The sequence below is a fragment of the Homo sapiens genome, chromosome 22 (assembly GCF_000001405.40).
Source record: "Homo sapiens chromosome 22, GRCh38.p14 Primary Assembly".
Taxonomy (NCBI): domain Eukaryota; kingdom Metazoa; phylum Chordata; class Mammalia; order Primates; family Hominidae; genus Homo; species Homo sapiens.
Genome location: NC_000022.11, coordinates 30,911,219 through 30,928,964, shown reverse-complemented (window position 1 = coordinate 30,928,964; position 17,746 = coordinate 30,911,219). Strand labels below are relative to the sequence as shown.

At 44.8% G+C, this 17,746-nt stretch overlaps 1 protein-coding gene and 2 long non-coding RNA genes across 9 annotated transcripts in view; 2 read left to right on the top strand and 1 right to left on the bottom strand.

The window, feature by feature from the left end:
- Positions 1–3,835, top strand: part of MORC2 (MORC family CW-type zinc finger 2) — a 43,645-nt gene extending 39,810 nt beyond the window's left edge. For 5 of the 7 annotated variants that reach the window (NM_001303256.3, XM_011530004.3, XM_047441203.1 and 2 more), the window contains 2 exons: positions 758–946; positions 2,094–3,835. In NM_001303256.3, the coding sequence (NP_001290185.1) occupies positions 758–946; positions 2,094–2,162 (258 nt within the window). In that variant the 3' untranslated portion in view covers positions 2,163–3,835. The remainder of the gene's footprint in view (positions 1–757; positions 947–2,093) is intronic. The other 2 variants (XM_017028667.3, NM_001303257.2) reach the window with 1 other exon arrangement.
- Positions 2,311–6,657, bottom strand: MORC2-AS1 (MORC2 antisense RNA 1). Its single transcript, NR_026920.1, has 2 exons — positions 6,450–6,657; positions 2,311–4,236 (listed from the first exon to the last, which is right to left on the bottom strand). It is a non-coding gene; the product is annotated as an MORC2 antisense RNA 1 (long non-coding RNA).
- Positions 6,658–7,185: 528 nt separating this feature from the next.
- The window catches only part of LOC107985544 (uncharacterized), a 35,724-nt gene continuing 25,163 nt past the window's right edge, over positions 7,186–17,746 (top strand). The window contains exons 1-2 of the long non-coding RNA NR_146603.1: positions 7,186–7,377; positions 17,534–17,667. This is a non-coding gene — a long non-coding RNA (uncharacterized LOC107985544). The remainder of the gene's footprint in view (positions 7,378–17,533; positions 17,668–17,746) is intronic.

Below are 17,746 nucleotides of genomic sequence, written 5' to 3'. Positions count from 1 at the left end.
TGGCGTGTGTGTTCATCACAGTGGCCTCATGATTCTCAGTGATTTACGAGTAAGTCATGTTATAAATTTGAACTTGGAAAATAAATTGAACCTAAAGAGATACTACTTAACATTGTTTTTCACACTGAGATTCCATGTGACATTTCATTTGAAACAAGTATTCTGCTCCCTTTTATAAGTCTGAAAAGCCACTAGAAAAACTGCTTGTTTCCCTTCCTACCTCTCCCCCTGGAGGTTTCAGGTACTCAGGGAAAATAGTAAAAAGCTCTGATGCTGTAGAAGTATATACTACTCCACAGATCTGGAGATATCTGCTGTTGGTTGGTAGGTGGAAAGAGAACTGACATGAGCGCTGACATTGTTGGGTATGTCTTGGAAGTGGGTGGTTGAAAGGGCTGTACTGAAGTCAGACAGGTTATGATTGAGCATGGAAGAGCGATTCTGTCATCCTTTTTTGTCACTTGGAATGGTAAGAATCGCCCCTCACGCGTCCTCACGGCCTGCTGTCTGCCAGAGCACTGTGCTGAGTGCTTCACCTGTGTGCTAATTGTCTTCTTCCTTGTGGCAGCCCCACAAGATAGGCATTGATGTCTCTCTACTCTGGACGTAAAGAGGCTGTTTGCCCTTTGTATCTAAGATGTTCCTTCAGACCAGGCATCCTTGGGTAAAGCGGGCTGGAGACACCCGTGTCAGCCTAGAAGGGCCCTGGGGACCCCTGTGAACTTACACACTCTCCCTCTTGCTCTGCTCCCAACAGAAGGAGTACTTCAAGCAATATGAAGTAGGGCTCCAAAACCTGTGCAATTCCTACCAGAGCCGTGCTGACTCCCGGGCCAAGGCCTCCGAGGAAAGCCTGCGCACCTCCGAGAGGAAGCTCCGCGAGACGGAGGAGAAGCTGCAGAAGCTGAGGACCAACATCGTGGCACTCCTGCAAAAGGTGCAGGAGGTGAGCCCGGCAGCCTTCCTGTTGCAGCTGGACCACCTGGTCTCTCAGGGAGGGGGGCCTGGGCCCTGTTCCTGTTCTCACAAGAATCTATCCACTCACAGGAATCTATGGTTCTCACCCTGGCTGCACAGCACCCTGGCAGGAGGGCTTGAGATGGTGTGGCTGCCTGGTCCTCAGCCCAGCCAGACCCATAGAACCAGGCTTTTTCCCTTTAGACATTCCGACGTACAACCTGGTTTGAGAACCCTCCAAGCCATAAAAACGAAGTTCTTTTCCACATGACGCCCAGATGGGATTGGGTAGCCCAGAAGTGGGGAGCACCCCTTAGCCTGTTGGCCCTTCATCCAGGCAATAAGCATGAGGGCCTGCTCTGTGCCTGTCCTGTGGATACAGAATGAACAAGACAAGCCAGAGAAGGTTCCTGCTCTCACAGCCTGCCAGTCTGGTGGAAGAGAGAGAATTACTGATGGTGGTTCATAAGGAGATACAGTAAAGTGTGGGGAGGCCACTTGACTAGGGTGTTCAGGGGCTTAGGCATTTGGAGACACTGGAAGCCAGTCATGCAAAGAGTGTGACACGAGCATTCCAGGCAGAAGGAAGAAGAGCAGGACTTGAGGCCTGAGCAGGGACTTGGGGGCGGTAGGGGCAGAGGCAGGGCTTGAAAGTTGTGGGGTTTGATCCCGAGAACAGTGGAGATCACTGGAGGGGTGTGGCATGATGCAGTTTTCAGTCTCAGACATGTACCTGCTTGGTTGGAGGAGGCCTGGAGGGGTCAAAGTTAGAACCAGAGCCTCCTGTGAGGAGGCTCCCACAGTTGTCTGAGACAGTGGTGGCCTGGACCTTGGGCAGTGACAGAGAAGGGAGAGAAGTGGGCATATTTGTAGTATCTGAGGGAAATATACATCTAAGACAATTGGGAACATGGGGTAGAGGCAGGGTGGGCGTAGGAAATCTGGGCATCATCTGTGCACAATAGATGAGGGAGGGGAGAGTGATTAAGACAGGACAGAAGCCTGACATCCAGGGCGGGGTGGGAGGTCAGGGAGAGGACTCTGGGCTCCATCCCAGGAGCTGAGAGAAGGGTGGAAAGGTGAGCCCCCCAATCACTTTCTGGCCCCCAGTTGATCCCTACCCTGCTCTATTCCAGGACATAGACATCAACACAGATGATGAGCTGGACGCCTACATTGAGGACCTCATCACCAAGGGGGACTGAAGGCAGGAGAGAGAGCAGCTCCCCTGCCCACCTGCCCCTCAACCCTGTAGCTGCAGGGGGAGGGGACTTCATTCATGGGTTGGTGGTCGCACCTTGGTTTGACTTACACGGGACATTTGTGTTTTTGGAGGAAAAGATACCCTGATTCTTTGAATCTTCCTTAAGTTTATAAATATTTATTTTTTAAAAGAAGATGCTGTGCCTGTGAGACCATACTTTTTTTTTTTTTTTTTTTTTTTTTTTTTTTTTTTTGGTGACTGCAAAGGACAGAGAACCTTTCCACTTTGGCCATACTGGGTTGCTAAGCCGGAGCCATTTCAGCTCCTGGCTCCTCAAGATAACGGCGAGTCCAGTGCCATCTTGGAGAAGCTCCAGGGGCAGGGCTGACTTTTCTCCTACAGGAGGAACAATGTGGGGATCTGAGGGATGGGAGGGAGACTTCCCCCTAGAGTGGTGGTCCTGCTGGGGGCTCATATCCAGGGACCCAAAAGGGGGGCTGTGTAGGAGGTTCCACATTGGAGGGGCTCTCTCTCTCGCAGCTGTCAGAGTTGGTCCTGGCTGTGGCGTCCAAACAGCTTGAGGGAAAAAGATCCTGTCTAACCACCTCATCTACTACTCAAGTTCTTTCTGAAGGAGGGATTTCTTCAGTTAACCATGGACAGTGAGGTTTCTCACCACAGTAACTTGAGTCCAGGTTGAGGGGGAGACAGATCTGTGGTAAATCTCTGACTTGGGCAGCACACTGAGTGTGGAACCCCACAGGACTCCTTAGGGAAGGAGCTTGTGTGTGAAAGAACCCCTGGGGCTGAGCTGGTGACCTCCATGTGTGGGTGCAGCAGGGCCTTGGATGGTGCCAATTGATCTGGACAGCCTGTTGATGCTTTTCTACTTCCACCCTTCGGCCTGGCCCCACTGAGCCCCATCAAGGTGCCTGAAGAGGGGGCCAGTGAGATCCCGTGGCCACAGGGACTCCAGAGGCATCTCTGCAGGAAGCACACCATGCCTTCCCTCCATGTTCCATCACGGCGCCACAATCTGTGTCCCTTAACTTCTCAGGGTCAAAGACAAAGGCAAGCGTTGCTGAATTTTCTCTTTAATGGCCATTGGAAGAGTCTGGTTCAGTTTTTCCCAACTCTCTTCCCACTCGTATTTGGGGCCTCTGGGTTTTCTGAAGGCACAAGGACTGTGACTTTGTACCACTAACCTGTGGTTCAAACCTGGGTGTGTTTCTGGCATCTCCCTAACCCAGATCAGCAATGGCCACCCTGCTCCTCTGAGGTCAGCAGAAGACTGGGAAGCAGAGGTGAGGGATGCAGGCCACACTGGAATGGGAAGTCTTTTCCCCACTGGATGTGCCTGTCTGGTGGGTTTTGGACCTTCCCAGACTACATCTCTAGGAGAGGCCTGTTTGGAGTAGTACACTGAGAGACCCTGGCCTCTTCTGCTGGAAGACTGTCCAAGTCTTGGGGTTTCTTGAGCTGGTGATTCCTCTGCCATCCTGCTCTCTCTCTTCATCTCAGGCAGCATGGGGTCCACTTTTGTCCCCAAACCTAATGTTTTAATCCAAATGCAAATTGGTTCCACATTTTTACTGGAGGGTAATCAGTTTTTAAAATTCACACACATGTAATCGAAACGCAATACTATAAAGTTCTACTGGTGAGACTCCTGAACTCAGTCTGTTTTCTTAGTAAAATCCAGCACCTTCCTTCTCTTCATTCTTTGTATCACTGTGGCTTTAAACTGTCTTCAAGTTATTCCTCCTCATCACCTCCATTGTTTTATCTTCACCCCCTTAACATCCACAGAAACAGACTGGAGTTCTTGAATGTTTTAGCTTCAACTTCTACATGTGCCCACTTTGCTTTGTTAATGCTACCACAGCTGTGCTGAATGAAGCCTGTTTCCCAGGCAGAGATCCTGCCACTCTGGATGGGAAGATAAAATGCAGGGGTCCTCTTTCCTGGTTTCCTGGGAACATCAAGGGACAGGTGACCAGCTTGGAACTCTTTGATGACTTGGAAGGAGGAAGATGGTCTGGCTGATCTGTGGTGAGAAGGTCCTTTGCACAAGGCTGCAAGAAAGTGAAGGGCAGCAATGCTGGTGTTTAAAGAACGAGAGGGGTGGGGACTCTAGGGTGTTTTGTTTGAGATGGGGGTCTCGCCCTGGTCACCTAGGCTGGAGTGCAGTGGCACGATCTTGGCTCACTGATACATCTGCCTTCCAGGCTCAAGTGATCTCCCACCTTAGCCTCCCAGGTAGCTGGAACCACAGGCACACACCATCATGCCTGGCGAATTTTTTTTGTATTTTTGGTAGAGTTTCGTCATGTTGCTTAGGATGGTCTCAAACTCCTGAGCTCAAGTGATCCACCTGCCTCGGCCTCCCAGAGTGCTGGGATTACAGTGTGAGCCACCATGCCTCACCTAGGGTGTTTGGTTTTTAAGTGAAACATGCACATGGTAAACATTAAAACCGTCTAAAAGGCTGGACCATGAAAAGCAAGGCTCCCTTCTCCCACCCAATCCCTGAATTCTCCCTGGAGAGTATCCCTCCTAAGTGCACGCACTTCCACTCTGTTCCATTTCTGCCTGTTAAAACTACTTAGTGCAGCTTAGTGTAGTGGAACCTGCTTCAGAATAACCCATATGGGTCTTCTTTATTCTCATGAACCACAGAGCATTTCATGTGTTGGATATATTGTCTCCTACTTACGGACATTTGGGGTTGTTTCTGTTTTTGTTTGTTTTGTGACGGACTCTTGCTCTGTCACCCAGGCTGGAGTGCAGTGGCACAGTCTCGGCTCATTGCAACCTTCACCTCCTGGGTTCCAGCGATTCTCCCCTCTCAGCCTCCCAAGTAGCTGGGACTACAGGTGCGTGCCACCATGCCCAGCTAATTTTTGTATTTTTTGGTAAAGACAGGGTTTCACCATGTTGGCCAGGCTGGTCTCAAACTCCTGATCTCAAGTGATTTGCCCGCCTTGGCTGGGATTACAGGCATGAGCCACTGCACCCGGCCAGTCACCATTTTCATCCGGTAACTTGCAATGCACCAGGCCTTACCAGGGCCACTGTTGGGTTCAGCGGACATTTCCTTCTTCAAGCTGGCAAGGCCTCAGACAAGTCACTGCCCATTTTGGCTCCTGTTCCTCCTCTAAAATAACGGAGTTGGGTGATGGCAGAGGCTTTCCAGCTTATTCAGCCTCAGGAGTACCTAAAATTTATCCAGAAGCCCATATGGAAAGCCAGGAGTCCTGGAGCTGCTCTGGTTGAAGCTAGGATGGGGGCCCAGAGCTCCCTGCTGTTCTTGACCCCCAAATCTTTGCTTCCAAGATTCACTGGCCCCTACCTGCTACCTGTAGGCCTTCACCTGCTTACTTGTGTCCGATGTAGGGATTATGGGCTTACTCAGCAGCCATCCTCATGGCCTAAACATTTGGCCAATTTCAGTGTCCCCGAAGGGTGAAGGAGGTCTGGGCTTCCATGGGGCCTGAACTGCAGGTACCTTCAGCACTTCCTGGGGTTCTGGACATGTCAACAGCTGCCCACCAAGGCCTGGAAGATAAGGAGGGCTCACACCACTAGTGCAAACTTGGATCAATGAGAAGGGAAGGATGCGACAGACGTATCCCTCCTCTTTTCTTGTCCCCTCTGGATTCTGTTGAGATGCTTCCAGGGATTCTCCGAGGCCCCTTCCTGCTCCAGTAACTGCAGGTTACTGGGGAAGCTGTGGCCAGCTCTAATCCCCTACTTTTTTTTTTTTTTTTTTTTGAGACAGTCTCGCTCTGTAGCCCAGGCTGGAGTGCAGTGGCGCCATCTTGCCTCATTGCAACCTCTGCCTCCAGGGTTCAAGCGATTCTCCTGCCTCAGCCTCTCTAGTAGCTGGAATTACAGGCGCGCGCCACCACGCCCGGCTAATTTTCGTATTTTTAGTAGAGATGGGGTTTCGCCATGTTGGCCAGGCTGGTCTAGAACTCCCAGTCTCGAGAGATCCATCTGCCTCAGCCTCCCAAAGGGCTGGGATTACAGACGTGAGCCACAGCGCCCGGCCTAATCCCCTACTTTGATTTACTGTCCCTCCCCACATCATTTCTTCCCTTATTGAAAGCTCTGGGTCCTCCCCAATGCCCCACCATGTAAACCAATCTGTCCTGCTGGGTTTGGGGCACCGCGGTGGGCAGGGGAGAACCCGTTTGTCAGAAGGTTCAGAGTTTCTGAGTTCCTCATGCTTAATCATCAGCGGCCACAGCACAACAGTGGCCGAGGGTGGGTTGTAAATTCTCACCTGGCCTAGAGGACGCAGCCACGACCCCAGCGCTTGGCCATCTCTGTAGAGGATTCGCGGGTGGACCATGCTTAGTCTAACAGGGTATGGTTATTAACGCCCGTTATGAACGGTTCATAACCAGCCAACGGTTATGAACTGTGGAGGGCTTCCGCAATCCCGCCACACGCTCGAGGCGGAAGCGACAAGACGCCTGCGTGGTTTTGCTGGCGCGCCGCACGTGCCCGTACCGTGACCTGCGCATGCGCTTTGGAAGCCTCGCGAGCTTCCTGCGGCACTCAGGGTTTGGTGCAGGTGCCTGTGGCCTTTGGGGGTTTCCTCGCGTCTTTTAGGTAGATGCTTCCAGGGATTCTCCGAGGCCTCTTCCTACTCCAGTAACTGCAGGTTTCTGGGGAAGCCGTGGCCAGCTCTAATCCCCTACTTTTTTTTTTTTTTTTTTTTTGAGACAGTTTCGCTCTGTCGCCCAGGCTGGAGTGCAGTGGCGCCATCTCGCCTCACTGCAACCTCCGCCTCCAGGGTTCAAGCGATTCTCCTGCCTCAGCGTCTCTAGTAGCTCCTTACAGGGAGAGCAATGGCCCACTCACACCCGAAACAGAGAAGCGAGGATTTTTTTTTTTTCCTGCAAGCTGCTGCGCATTAATTAAGTCAAAGTGCAGAAGAAATCTTTTCTACCCCGGCTTTCCAACTTTCCGGGGGTCATTAGGGAAAAACATTCGTTGAACAGATGTCCTTAGGGTCGGCGCTTTTATCTCTGAAAGGAAGAACACTTGGAAAGGAAGCTGCGTGTTTTTCCTCTTGCCCGGAAGAGCCAGCCTGTATGTCTCCCTTTTGACCCGAGGCCAAGCGCCTGAAGCCTCTTGGACTTAGTTAACATTAGTCCGTTTTCTATGCGTTTGTCCTTGGCTTGGTTTATGGTGTTTGTTGAAAGGTAAATGTTTTAAAGTTTTGGGGATTCCTATCATGCTTAGGGAAATCAATCCCCTTCTCTCTTCTCCCCTTCCCCCGATATTCTCTTACATTTTGTTGCAATGTTTATTATTTATTTTTTACTAGACAACCTATAGTCCTTATGGAATATATTTTAGTATAAGCTGTAAGGCAAGAGTCAAGCGTCTCCCGCCCCCAGGTGGAAATTAACTTATTCCAGCCCCACTTATTAAATGAGCCTCTTACTAAATGAGCCAACAGGTGTGGACCTGTTGAGTTTGAGATCCCGCTTAGACGCCAGTGGAGACATCTGTGGTCAGTTGCACAAGTGAGTCTGATGTGAGGGGTGAGGTTCTGGCTGAAACTATAATTTTGGGCGTCATCAGCATCTAAATAGATCAGTCTCCCTCACTTGTTAAAAAATGCTTTTCCAGTCTTAGAATGTATTCTCTCACATGAAATATTTAATCGCATTATCCAGTTCGTTCCCATCCCTGCCTAAAAGAAAGTGTTCCATTGGGATTTAAATTATAATTGCATTAAATTTAAATGGAAGTTTTGGGAGCATTGACATTTTTGTGATATTAATCCTCCCCCAGAGGATAAAAAATGGCTTTCCATTTACTCAAGACTTCTTTTAGGTCCTCCAATAAGATTTTATAAATTCTTTATACGGGTTCTATAACTTTCTGGTTAAAATTATTCCTAAGTGTTTTATGGTTTTTGTCTATTGTGATGGAATACTTTTTTCCATCTGTATTACTCATTGATTATTAATATGTAGAAAAGCTAATGATTTAATATAATTCACTTTCTGTCTTAGGAATTCTGGTAGTTTTAATAAGCCTGTTTTTTATAGATACAAATTTGCCAGTATACCAATTTATTTTGTCAGTTTGCTTTAGTTAGAACCTCTGAAACAATGTTGAATAATGATCCCGGGCTGTTTCTGATATGCGTGGAAATCCGCATGTGAGAGTTGAGCGGTGAGAGTTTCGGCAAGTGGCTTTTAAAATGTTGGGGTTTCCTTTAGTTTGTCTTGCGGCTGCTGGGACTCACCGGTAGTTGCCAGTCCTGCCTGAGTTGGGCGCCAGGGGGCAGCAGTCACACAGAATGAAACGTGGGCTGTGCCCCCTGGAAACTGGCTGAATTTTGTCAAATGCCTTTACACCTTCTATAAAAAAAAAAAAAACATAGAGTTTTCTCCTTTATGCTGCTGTTTTTATTTTCAATTAGACATTGAGTAGCTATGAAAGAATGCTGTATAAAATATTTGTAAAGGAGGCCTGAAGCGGTGGCTCACGCCTGTAATTCCAACACTTTGGGAGGCCAAGGTGGGCAGATTGCTTGAGCCCAGGAGTTGGAGACCAGCCTGGGCAACATAGCAAGACGCCATCTCCACATTAAATACAAAAATTAGCTGGGTTTGTGCTGAGGCCGAGGTGGGAGAATCGCTTGAGCCCGGGAGGTGGAGGCTGCAATGAGCTATGATCGTGCCACTGTACTCTAGCCTGGGTGACAGAGTGAGAAACTGTCTTTAAAAAAAAAAAAATTATAAAGCAGAAAAAGTATACATCAAACACCCATCACCTGGCTTGTTATATTATAAATCCCTGTGTGTCTTTCCTGGACCCCTTGTCTCCCTGCTCAGAGGTCACCATCATCCTGAATTGTGTTTATTACTCTTAGTATTTCATTTTATAATTATGTTTCTTTACTCTTCATTATATTTTTATGAGCTCTGTGTATTCCTGTTTTATTTTGCCCTAAGTGTTTTATTTTGCTTTGTTTTTGAACTTAGATGGACATAACGTTTTATTGTTTTGCGGTTTTCTTTTTTTTTATTTTCAACATTGTGTTCCAGAAAATCATCCATGTTGTTGGATGTAACTGTAATTTATTCATTTTCACTACTGTATAGTATTCTGGATGTTAACCTAAATAACAATAAAGAGAGGTTCTCAAAAGAAAATATACTTATTTAGGAACAAAGCATTGCAAATTTATGTATATATGTCTTTTCTTTTAGAGAGCCTCTTTGTTATTTGGGTTGCTACATCACTGCCGAATACTAGACAGTAATGAAAATGAATGAATTACACCTGCAATTGAACATAATACAATTTTAAATGCATTCCTCTGAGACTGGCAACTGTGCATTGTTTATGTCTCCTGTTGCATGTGTGCAGGACTTTCTCCCTGGGACAGCTGTCCCCAACATTTTTGGTACCAGGGACTGGTTTCATGGAAGACAGTTTCTCCATGAACTGGGGTGGGGGATGGTTTTTGGGATGATTCAAACGCATTACATTTATTGTGCACTTTATTTCTGTTATTATTACATTGTAATATATAATGAAATAATTATACAACTCACCATAATGTAGAATCAGTGGGAGCCTGAGCTTGTTTTCCTGGAGCTAGATGGTCTCATCTGTGGGTGATGGGAGACAGTGACAGATCATCAGGCATTCGATTCTCATCAGGAACATGCAACCTAGATCCCTTGCATGCGCAGTTTACATAGGGTTCTTGCTCCTATGAGAATCTAATGCCGCCGCTGATCTGACTGGAGGCAGAGCTCAGGTGGTAATGGGTAATGGGTAGCGGCTGTAAATACAGATGAAGCTTTGCCTGCTTGCCTGCAGCTCACCTGCTGTGGGTCTGGTTCCTAACAGGCCATGGACTGGTACCAGTCCGTGGCCTGAGGGTTGGGGACCCCTGCCCTAGGATATAAACCTTGGAGTAGAATTGCAGAGTCATAGTTCATGCCCATTTCCACTTTACTAGGTAATGCCAGAACCGGTTGTGTTAATTTTCACACTCATTGGCACTGGATAAGTGCTTTGTCTACTTTGTTGCCTGTGCTTGATATTGCTAGACTTGAAATGTTTTGCCAGTCTGATGAGGGCATAGTGGTATCTAAGTGTGGTTTAATTTACATTTTTCTGATTTCCAAAATGTGGTTGAGCACCTTTTCTTATATTTATTGACCATTTATTTTATTTATTTTTATTTATTTTTGAGACAGGGTCTTGCTCTGTCGCCCAGGCTGGAGTGCAGTGGCACAATCGCAGCACGCTGCAACCTCCACCTCCTGGGCTCAAGGAGTCCTCCTGCCTCAGCCTCCCAAGTAGTTAGGACTACAGGCATGTGCCACAATGCCTGGCTAATTTTTGTATTTTTCGTAGAGACAGGGTTTCGCTATGTCACCCTGGCTGGTCTTGAATTCCTGGACACAAGCGATCCGCTTGCCTCAGCCTCCCAAAGTGCTGGGATTACAGGCATGAGCCATTGTGCCTGGCCTTATTGACCATTTAGCTTTCTGTGATGAAGTGTTTGCTCAAGATTTGGGCCCATTTTTCTATTTTATCTTTTTCTTATTTGAATTTTGTATATTCTGGAGACATGTTCTTTATAAGTTATCTGTGTTGCAGATTTTTTCTCCTATTCTTTGGTATGCCTTCTTTTTTATTCTCTTTTTACAGAGTCTTGAGGACTAGGAATCCTTAATTAAAAATGTAGAATAATAATTTATCAGTCCTTTATTTATAGTTTTATTGTAACTTGTTTAAGAAATACTTCTTGGCCGGGTGCAATGGCCCACGCCTGTAATCCCAGCAATTTGGGAGGCCGAGGCGGGCAGATCACCTGAGGTCAAGAGTTTGAGACCAGCCTGGCCAACATGGTGAAACCCCAACCCTACTAAAAATACAAAAATTAGCTGGGGTGTGATGGTGAGTGCCTGTAATCCAGCTACTCAGGAGGCTGAGGCAGAAGAATTGCTTGAACCCGGGAGGCAGAAGTTGCAGTGAGCCAAGATTGCACCATTGCACTCCAGCCTGGGAGACAGGAGCAAAACTCCATCTCAAAAAAACAAAACAAAAGTAAGAAATACTTCTCTACCCTGAGGTCATGAAGATATTTTGTATTATCTTCTAAAGTCTTTATAGTTTTGTCTTTCACATACGGATGGTCCCTACCTTAATGATGGTTTGACTTAGGATTGTTTTGACTTTATGATGTTGTGAAAGCAATACCCATTCAGTAGAAGCTGCACTTTGAATTTTGAATTTTCATCTTTCTCCAGGCTAGCAATATTCTATAAGATATTGTGATGCCAGGCAGTGGCGGTGAGCTGCAGCTGTCAGCCACAAGGGTAAACGTTTGATACTCTATAGTGTACAGTGTTCAATAAATGATGTGAGATATTCAACACTCTATTATAAAAACAGGCTATGCGTTAGATGATTTTGCTCAACTGTAGGCTAAGGTAAGTGTTCTGAGCTCATCTAAGGTAGGCTAGGCTAAGCTATGATGTCCTGTAGGAGTATTAAATGCATTTTTAACTTATGATATTTTTGACTTATGATGGGTTTATTGGAACATAACCGTATTGTCAGTTGAGGACCATCTATGTAGATTTTTTTAAAAAAATTATTATTGTTATTATTTTTTGAGACAGAGTCTCATTCTGTTGCCCAGGCTGGAGTGCAGTGGCATGATCTTGGCTCACTGCAACCTCTGCCTCCTGGGTTCAAGTGATTCTCCTGCCTCAGCCTCCCGAGTAGCTGGGATTACAGGCATGTGCCACCACACCCAGCTAATTTTTTGTATTTTTAATAGAGATAGGGTTTTGCCATATTGGCCCGAGTAGCTGGGATTACAGGCATGTGCCACCACACCCAGCTAATTTTTTGTATTTTTAATAGAGATAGGGTTTTGCCATATTGGCCAGGCTGGTCTCGAACTCCTGGCCTAAAGTGATCTGCCCATCTTAGTCTTCCAAAGTGCTGGGATTATAGCTATGAGCCACCTTGCTTGGCCTAGATCTTTAATCTGCCTGGAATTGAGTTTCATGTATGGTATGAGGTAGAGCTCCAGTTTTCCTCCTTCCTGCCTCCTTTCCTTCTTCATTCCCTCCCTTCCTCTTCTCTCCTTCTTTCCATACATATACCTGGTTGCCTCACCACCCTTCATTGAGTAGTCTTTTCTTTCACTATTGATCTACAGTGCTACCTCTGTTATATATCAAATGTTCATTTATGTATTAATCTGTTTCTGAACTTTTAATTTAGTTATATTTGTCTATTGTCTCTTTCTCTATGCCAATACTAATTTATTTATGGTTTTACATTATTTTGATATCTAGTTGAGGCAGTCCTCCTACTTTTCTTTTTTTTTTTTTGAGACTGAGTCTTGCTCTGTCGCCCAGGCTGGAGTGCAGTGGCATGATCTCAGCTCACTACAACCTCCACTTCCCTGGTTCAAGGGATTCCCCTGCCTCAGCCTCCTGAGTAGCTGGGATTACAGGTGCGCACCACCACACCTGGCTAATTTTTTTGTATTTTTAATAGAGATGGGGTTTCACCATGTTGGCCAGACTGGTCTCGAACTCCTGACCTCAGGCTATCCACCTGCCTTGGCCTCCCAAAGTTCTGGAATTACAGGCACGAGCCACCGCACCCGGCTACATTTCTACTTCAGTAGTGTCTTGACTACTGTTAGGTGTTAGCATTTTCGTGCACATTTTAGAATCATCAAGCTCCATGAGAAAACCTGTAGGGGTTCCATTGGAATTGATGGTATCCATCCTCAACTGAGAAGAATTGATACCTTTATAAGTCTTCCCAACCATGAATATGGTATAATTCTCAATCTAGATCTTTCTTTAGTGTCTCTCAAAAAAAGTATTACAGTTTTCCCTTTAGAGGTCTCATATGTCTTTTGTTAGATATATCTTTGGAACCTGATGATTTGTAATGCTGTTATAGATGAATGACAACTTTAAGATACATTCTCTGACAGCTTGTTGCTAGTATATAAAAATGTAATTGATTTTTATGTATCAACTGACTGTTATCTACACAATTCTTTTGGATTTTTTAGGTCATATCATCAGTGAACAGTGATAATTTTACCAATTCTCATACTTTATATAAATATTTTTCTTGCCTTATTGCATTGGCTCTGAGTACAATGTTGAATATAAAGGGGGAAAGTGGGCATCTCTTTTTGTTCCCTGTCTCGCAGGAAAAGTGCGTGTGTGTGTGTATGTGTGTAGATATCAGATTATGGAAATTTTCTTCTATTCCTATTGCTAAACTTTTTATTTTATTTATTTATTTATATATTTTTTGAGACAGAGTCTCACTCTGTTGCCCAGGCTGGAGTGCAGTGGTGCCATCTTGGCTCACTGCAGCCTCAACCTCCCAGGTTCAAGTGATTCTCCTGCTGCAGCCTCTTGAGGAGCTGGGATTACAGGTGTCCACCACCATGCCCAGCTAATTTTTGTATTTTTACTAGAGATGGGGTTTCACCATGTTGGCCAGGCTGGTCTTGACTCCTGACCTCAGGTGATCCACCCACCTGGGCCTCGCAAAGTGCTAGGATTACAGGCGTGAGCCACTGTGACCAGCCTTTTTTTCCTTTTAAATATCATGGATGCATGCTGAATTTTATCTAAAGTGTTTTCTTCATATTAGCATAACTATGTAGCATTCTCCTTTAATTTGTTAATGTGGTGAATTACATGGTTTAGTTTTTCTCAGCATAAACTAACCCTGCATTTTTGGAGTAATGATTTTCTATATTGTTAGATTTATTAATATTTTATTTTGAATTGTACCGTTACAAGTGACATTAGTTTGTAATTGTCCATTCTCATACTGTTTGTCAGGTTTTTGTGAGCAGGTTATGTTAGCTTGAAGAAATCAGTTTGGGAGTATTCTCTCTTTCCCTCTACTCTTGGAAAGTTTCTGTAAGATTGGAATTATTCCTTGGTCATCTGTGTAGAGTTTTGTGTGTATATATTAGGACTATTTTTGAGACAGAGTCTCGCTCTGTCACCAGGCTGGAGTACAGTGATCTCGGCTCACTGCACCCTCCGCCTCCCGGGTTCAAGTGATTCTCCTGCCTCAGCCTCCTGAGTAGTTGAGACTACAGGCGTGCACCACCACACCCAGCTAATTTTTGCATTTTTAGTAGAGGCGGGGTTTCACCATGTTGGCTAGGATAGTCTCGATCTCTTGACCTCATGATCCGCCTGCCTCAGCCTCCCAAAGTGCTGGTATTACAGGCATGAGCCACTGCGCCCGGCCTGTTAGGACTACTTTTAACTGATTTTTAAAAAGAAATGATTTTAAGTCTTTTTTTTTTTTTTTTTTTGAGACAGGGTCTCACTCTGTTGCTCAGGCTGGAGTACAGTGGCATGTTCTAGGCTCACTGCAGCCTCCACCTCCCGAGCTCAAGCCATCCTCCCACCTCAGCCTCCTGAGTGGCTGGGACTACAGGCTTGCACCACTATGCCTAGCTAATTTTTTGTGTGTGCGTATTTTTTGTAGAGATGGGGTTTTATTATGTTGCCCAGCCTGGTCTCAAACACCTGGCTTCAAAGCAATCAGCCTGACTCGGCCTCCCAGAGTGTTGGGATCCCAGGCATGAGCCACTGAGTCCAGCGAAGTTATATTTTTGTAGGAACTAATCCATTTTATCTGTTTTCAAATTTATTGTCCAAGTTGTTCATAATATTCCTTATTTATTTTTTAGGTGTCTCCACAGGGCAAGTTCTAATAATATATTCTTACTTTAAAATGTCTCTGGTGTCTGTATTTATGTCCCCTTTCTTTTTTTTTGAGGTAGAGTTTCACTCTTGTTGCCCAGGCTGGAGTGCAGTGGCACAATCTTGGTTCACTGCAACCTCTGCCTCCCAGGTTCAAGCGATTTTCTTTTTTTTGTTGTTTTTTCGAGACAGAGTCTCGCTCTGTTGCCCAGGCTGGAGTGCAGTGGTGCAATCTCGGCTCACTGCAAACTCCGCCTCCTGGGTGCATGCCATTCTCCCACCTCAGCCTCCTGAGTAGCTGGGACTACAGGTGCCCGCCACGATGCCCGGCTAATTTTGTTTTTGTATTTTTAGTAGAGAGGGGTTTCACTGTGTTAGCCAGGATGGTCTCGATCTCCTGACCTCGTGATCCACCCGCCTCGGCCTCCCAAAGTGCTGGGATTACAGGCGTGAGCCACTGCACCCGGCCCAACCTCAGCTTTCTTCGTTCTTTTTATTATTGCCCTATTTAATGAATATCTGATATTTGATCTTTATTTTCATTCTTGTCCTTTTCTTTCTTTTTTCTGTTTTTCTTTTTTTTTGAGACAGAGTCTTGCTCTGTCGCCCAGGCTGGAGTGCAGAGTCGCGATCTCGGCTCACTGCAAGCTCCGCCTCCCAGGTTCACGCCATTCTCCTGCCTCAGCCACCCGAGTAGCTGGGACTACAGGTGCCCACCAACACGCCCGGCTAATTTTTTGTATATTTTTTAGTAGAGACGGGGTTTCACCGTGTTTGCCAGGATAGTCTCGATCTCCTGACCTCGTGATCCGCCCACCTCGGCCTCCCAAAGTGCTGGGATTACAGGCGTGAGCCACCTCGCCCGGCCCATTCTTGTCCTTTTCTTGAGTTTTTTCTAATGTTCATTTTCTTACTCAAATTGGATGTTTAAAAATTTTTTAGTCTTTTACATGAGTCTTAAATGTTGTAAATTTTCCTCAAGGTACTGCTTTACCTGTATTCTGTATGTTTTAATATATAGTTTTTTTTAACTGTATTTTCTGATTTCTGTTGTTTTCTTCATTGACCTATGAGTTATTTCAAAATATATTTCTTAATGTTCTAGCCTGTATTTTCCTCCCAGTTTTATTTTTGTCATTGATTTTGAACTGTCTTCATTGCAGTCTGAGAATGTGGTCCTTTGAAATTTGCTGAGGCCTTATGACTGGATTAAATATATGGTTAATGTTCATAAAAGTTCCATGTGCATTTCAAAAATATGTATTCTGCAGTCACATTTAATTCCCTATATGTGTCCATGACATCAAGTTTGTTAATTACATAGTAATTAACATAATTTGTTGTCTGAGCTCTAATTACTGGGAGAAATAAATTACAATCTTCCATTATGATAGTGGATTTATCTTTATCCATTTTACTTTATACATTTTGAGATGTTATTAGGTGCATAAGAGTTTTAGAAATTTATGAGTTTTACCTTCTATCACTACAAAATGACCTTAAAATTCTAGTAGTTGACATCTAGTAATATTTTTTGCCCTAGAGTCTGTTTAGTTTATATATTTATGTTTTAGGTGTATTCTTGTAAATAGCATATAGCTGGATTTTATTTTTAGTCCATATTTTTTTCTTTGAAGCATTTAGATTACTTAAATTTTATGTAATTACTGATGTATTATTGATGTATTTGTATTCTCTTATTTGTGATTTTTATTCTACATTCTTTTTTCCTCTCCTCTCTTGCCTTCTTTAGATTTACTGAGCTTTTTCCCCCCTGCATTCAATGTGTTTCTTCTACTGCTTTGGAAATAATTTAGTATTGCTATTCCTTCAATGATTACCTGATAAGTTTTACATAATCTTAACTCATCATAGTCTCACTCCACATGACACTATATATTTTTTTTAAAAAAATTTAATATACTGTTTAATATGCTAAATAAAATTTAGTTATACACACATACACACACACACACACACACACACACACACACACATATATATAGAGAGAGAGATAGAGACAGAGACAGACAGAGACAGGATGATTGTGTAGCTCACTGCAGTCTCGAACTTCTAGGCTCAAGTTATCCTCCCTCCTCAGCCTCCCAAGTAGCTGGGACTACAGGCATATGCCACCATGCCTGGTTAATTATTTTATTTTTGTAGAGATGGAGTCTTGCTATATTGCCCAGGCTGTTCTCAAATTCCTGACCTCAAGTGATCATTCCACCTTGGCCTCCCCAAGTGTTGGGATTATAGGCATAAACCACCACACGTGACCTGTGGAAAAGATATTTTGACTGAGGAGAACACTAACATTTTCTTCTCTATTTTGGAGGTAATACTTCATTGTCTTCTGACTTCCTTTGGAGGCTCTCAGTCTAATCTGTTCTCGGTCTAATTGGCCTTCCTTTGGAGATGAATTTTCAGGATCTCACTCTGTTGCTTGGGCTGGAGTGCAGTGATGTGATCATAGCTCACTGCAGCCTCAAATTCTTGGGCTCAAGCAATCCTCCAGCCTCAGTCTCCTGGGAAGCTAGGACTACAGACACATACCACTTTGCCTAATTTAGTTTTTATTTTTATTTTTTTGTAGAGATGGGGTCTCTTCTGTTTTCCCATGATGGTCTCCAACTGCTGGTCTCAAGTGATCCTTCTGCCTCAGCCTCCCAAAGTGCTGGTATGACAGGTGTGAGCCACTGTACCCAGCCTAATTTATGCTGTTTGAAGGTAATTTAAAAAAATCTGCTTGTAAGATTTTGTTGTCTTAGTAATCTTGCAGTTTCACTATGTTGTATTTAGCTGTGGA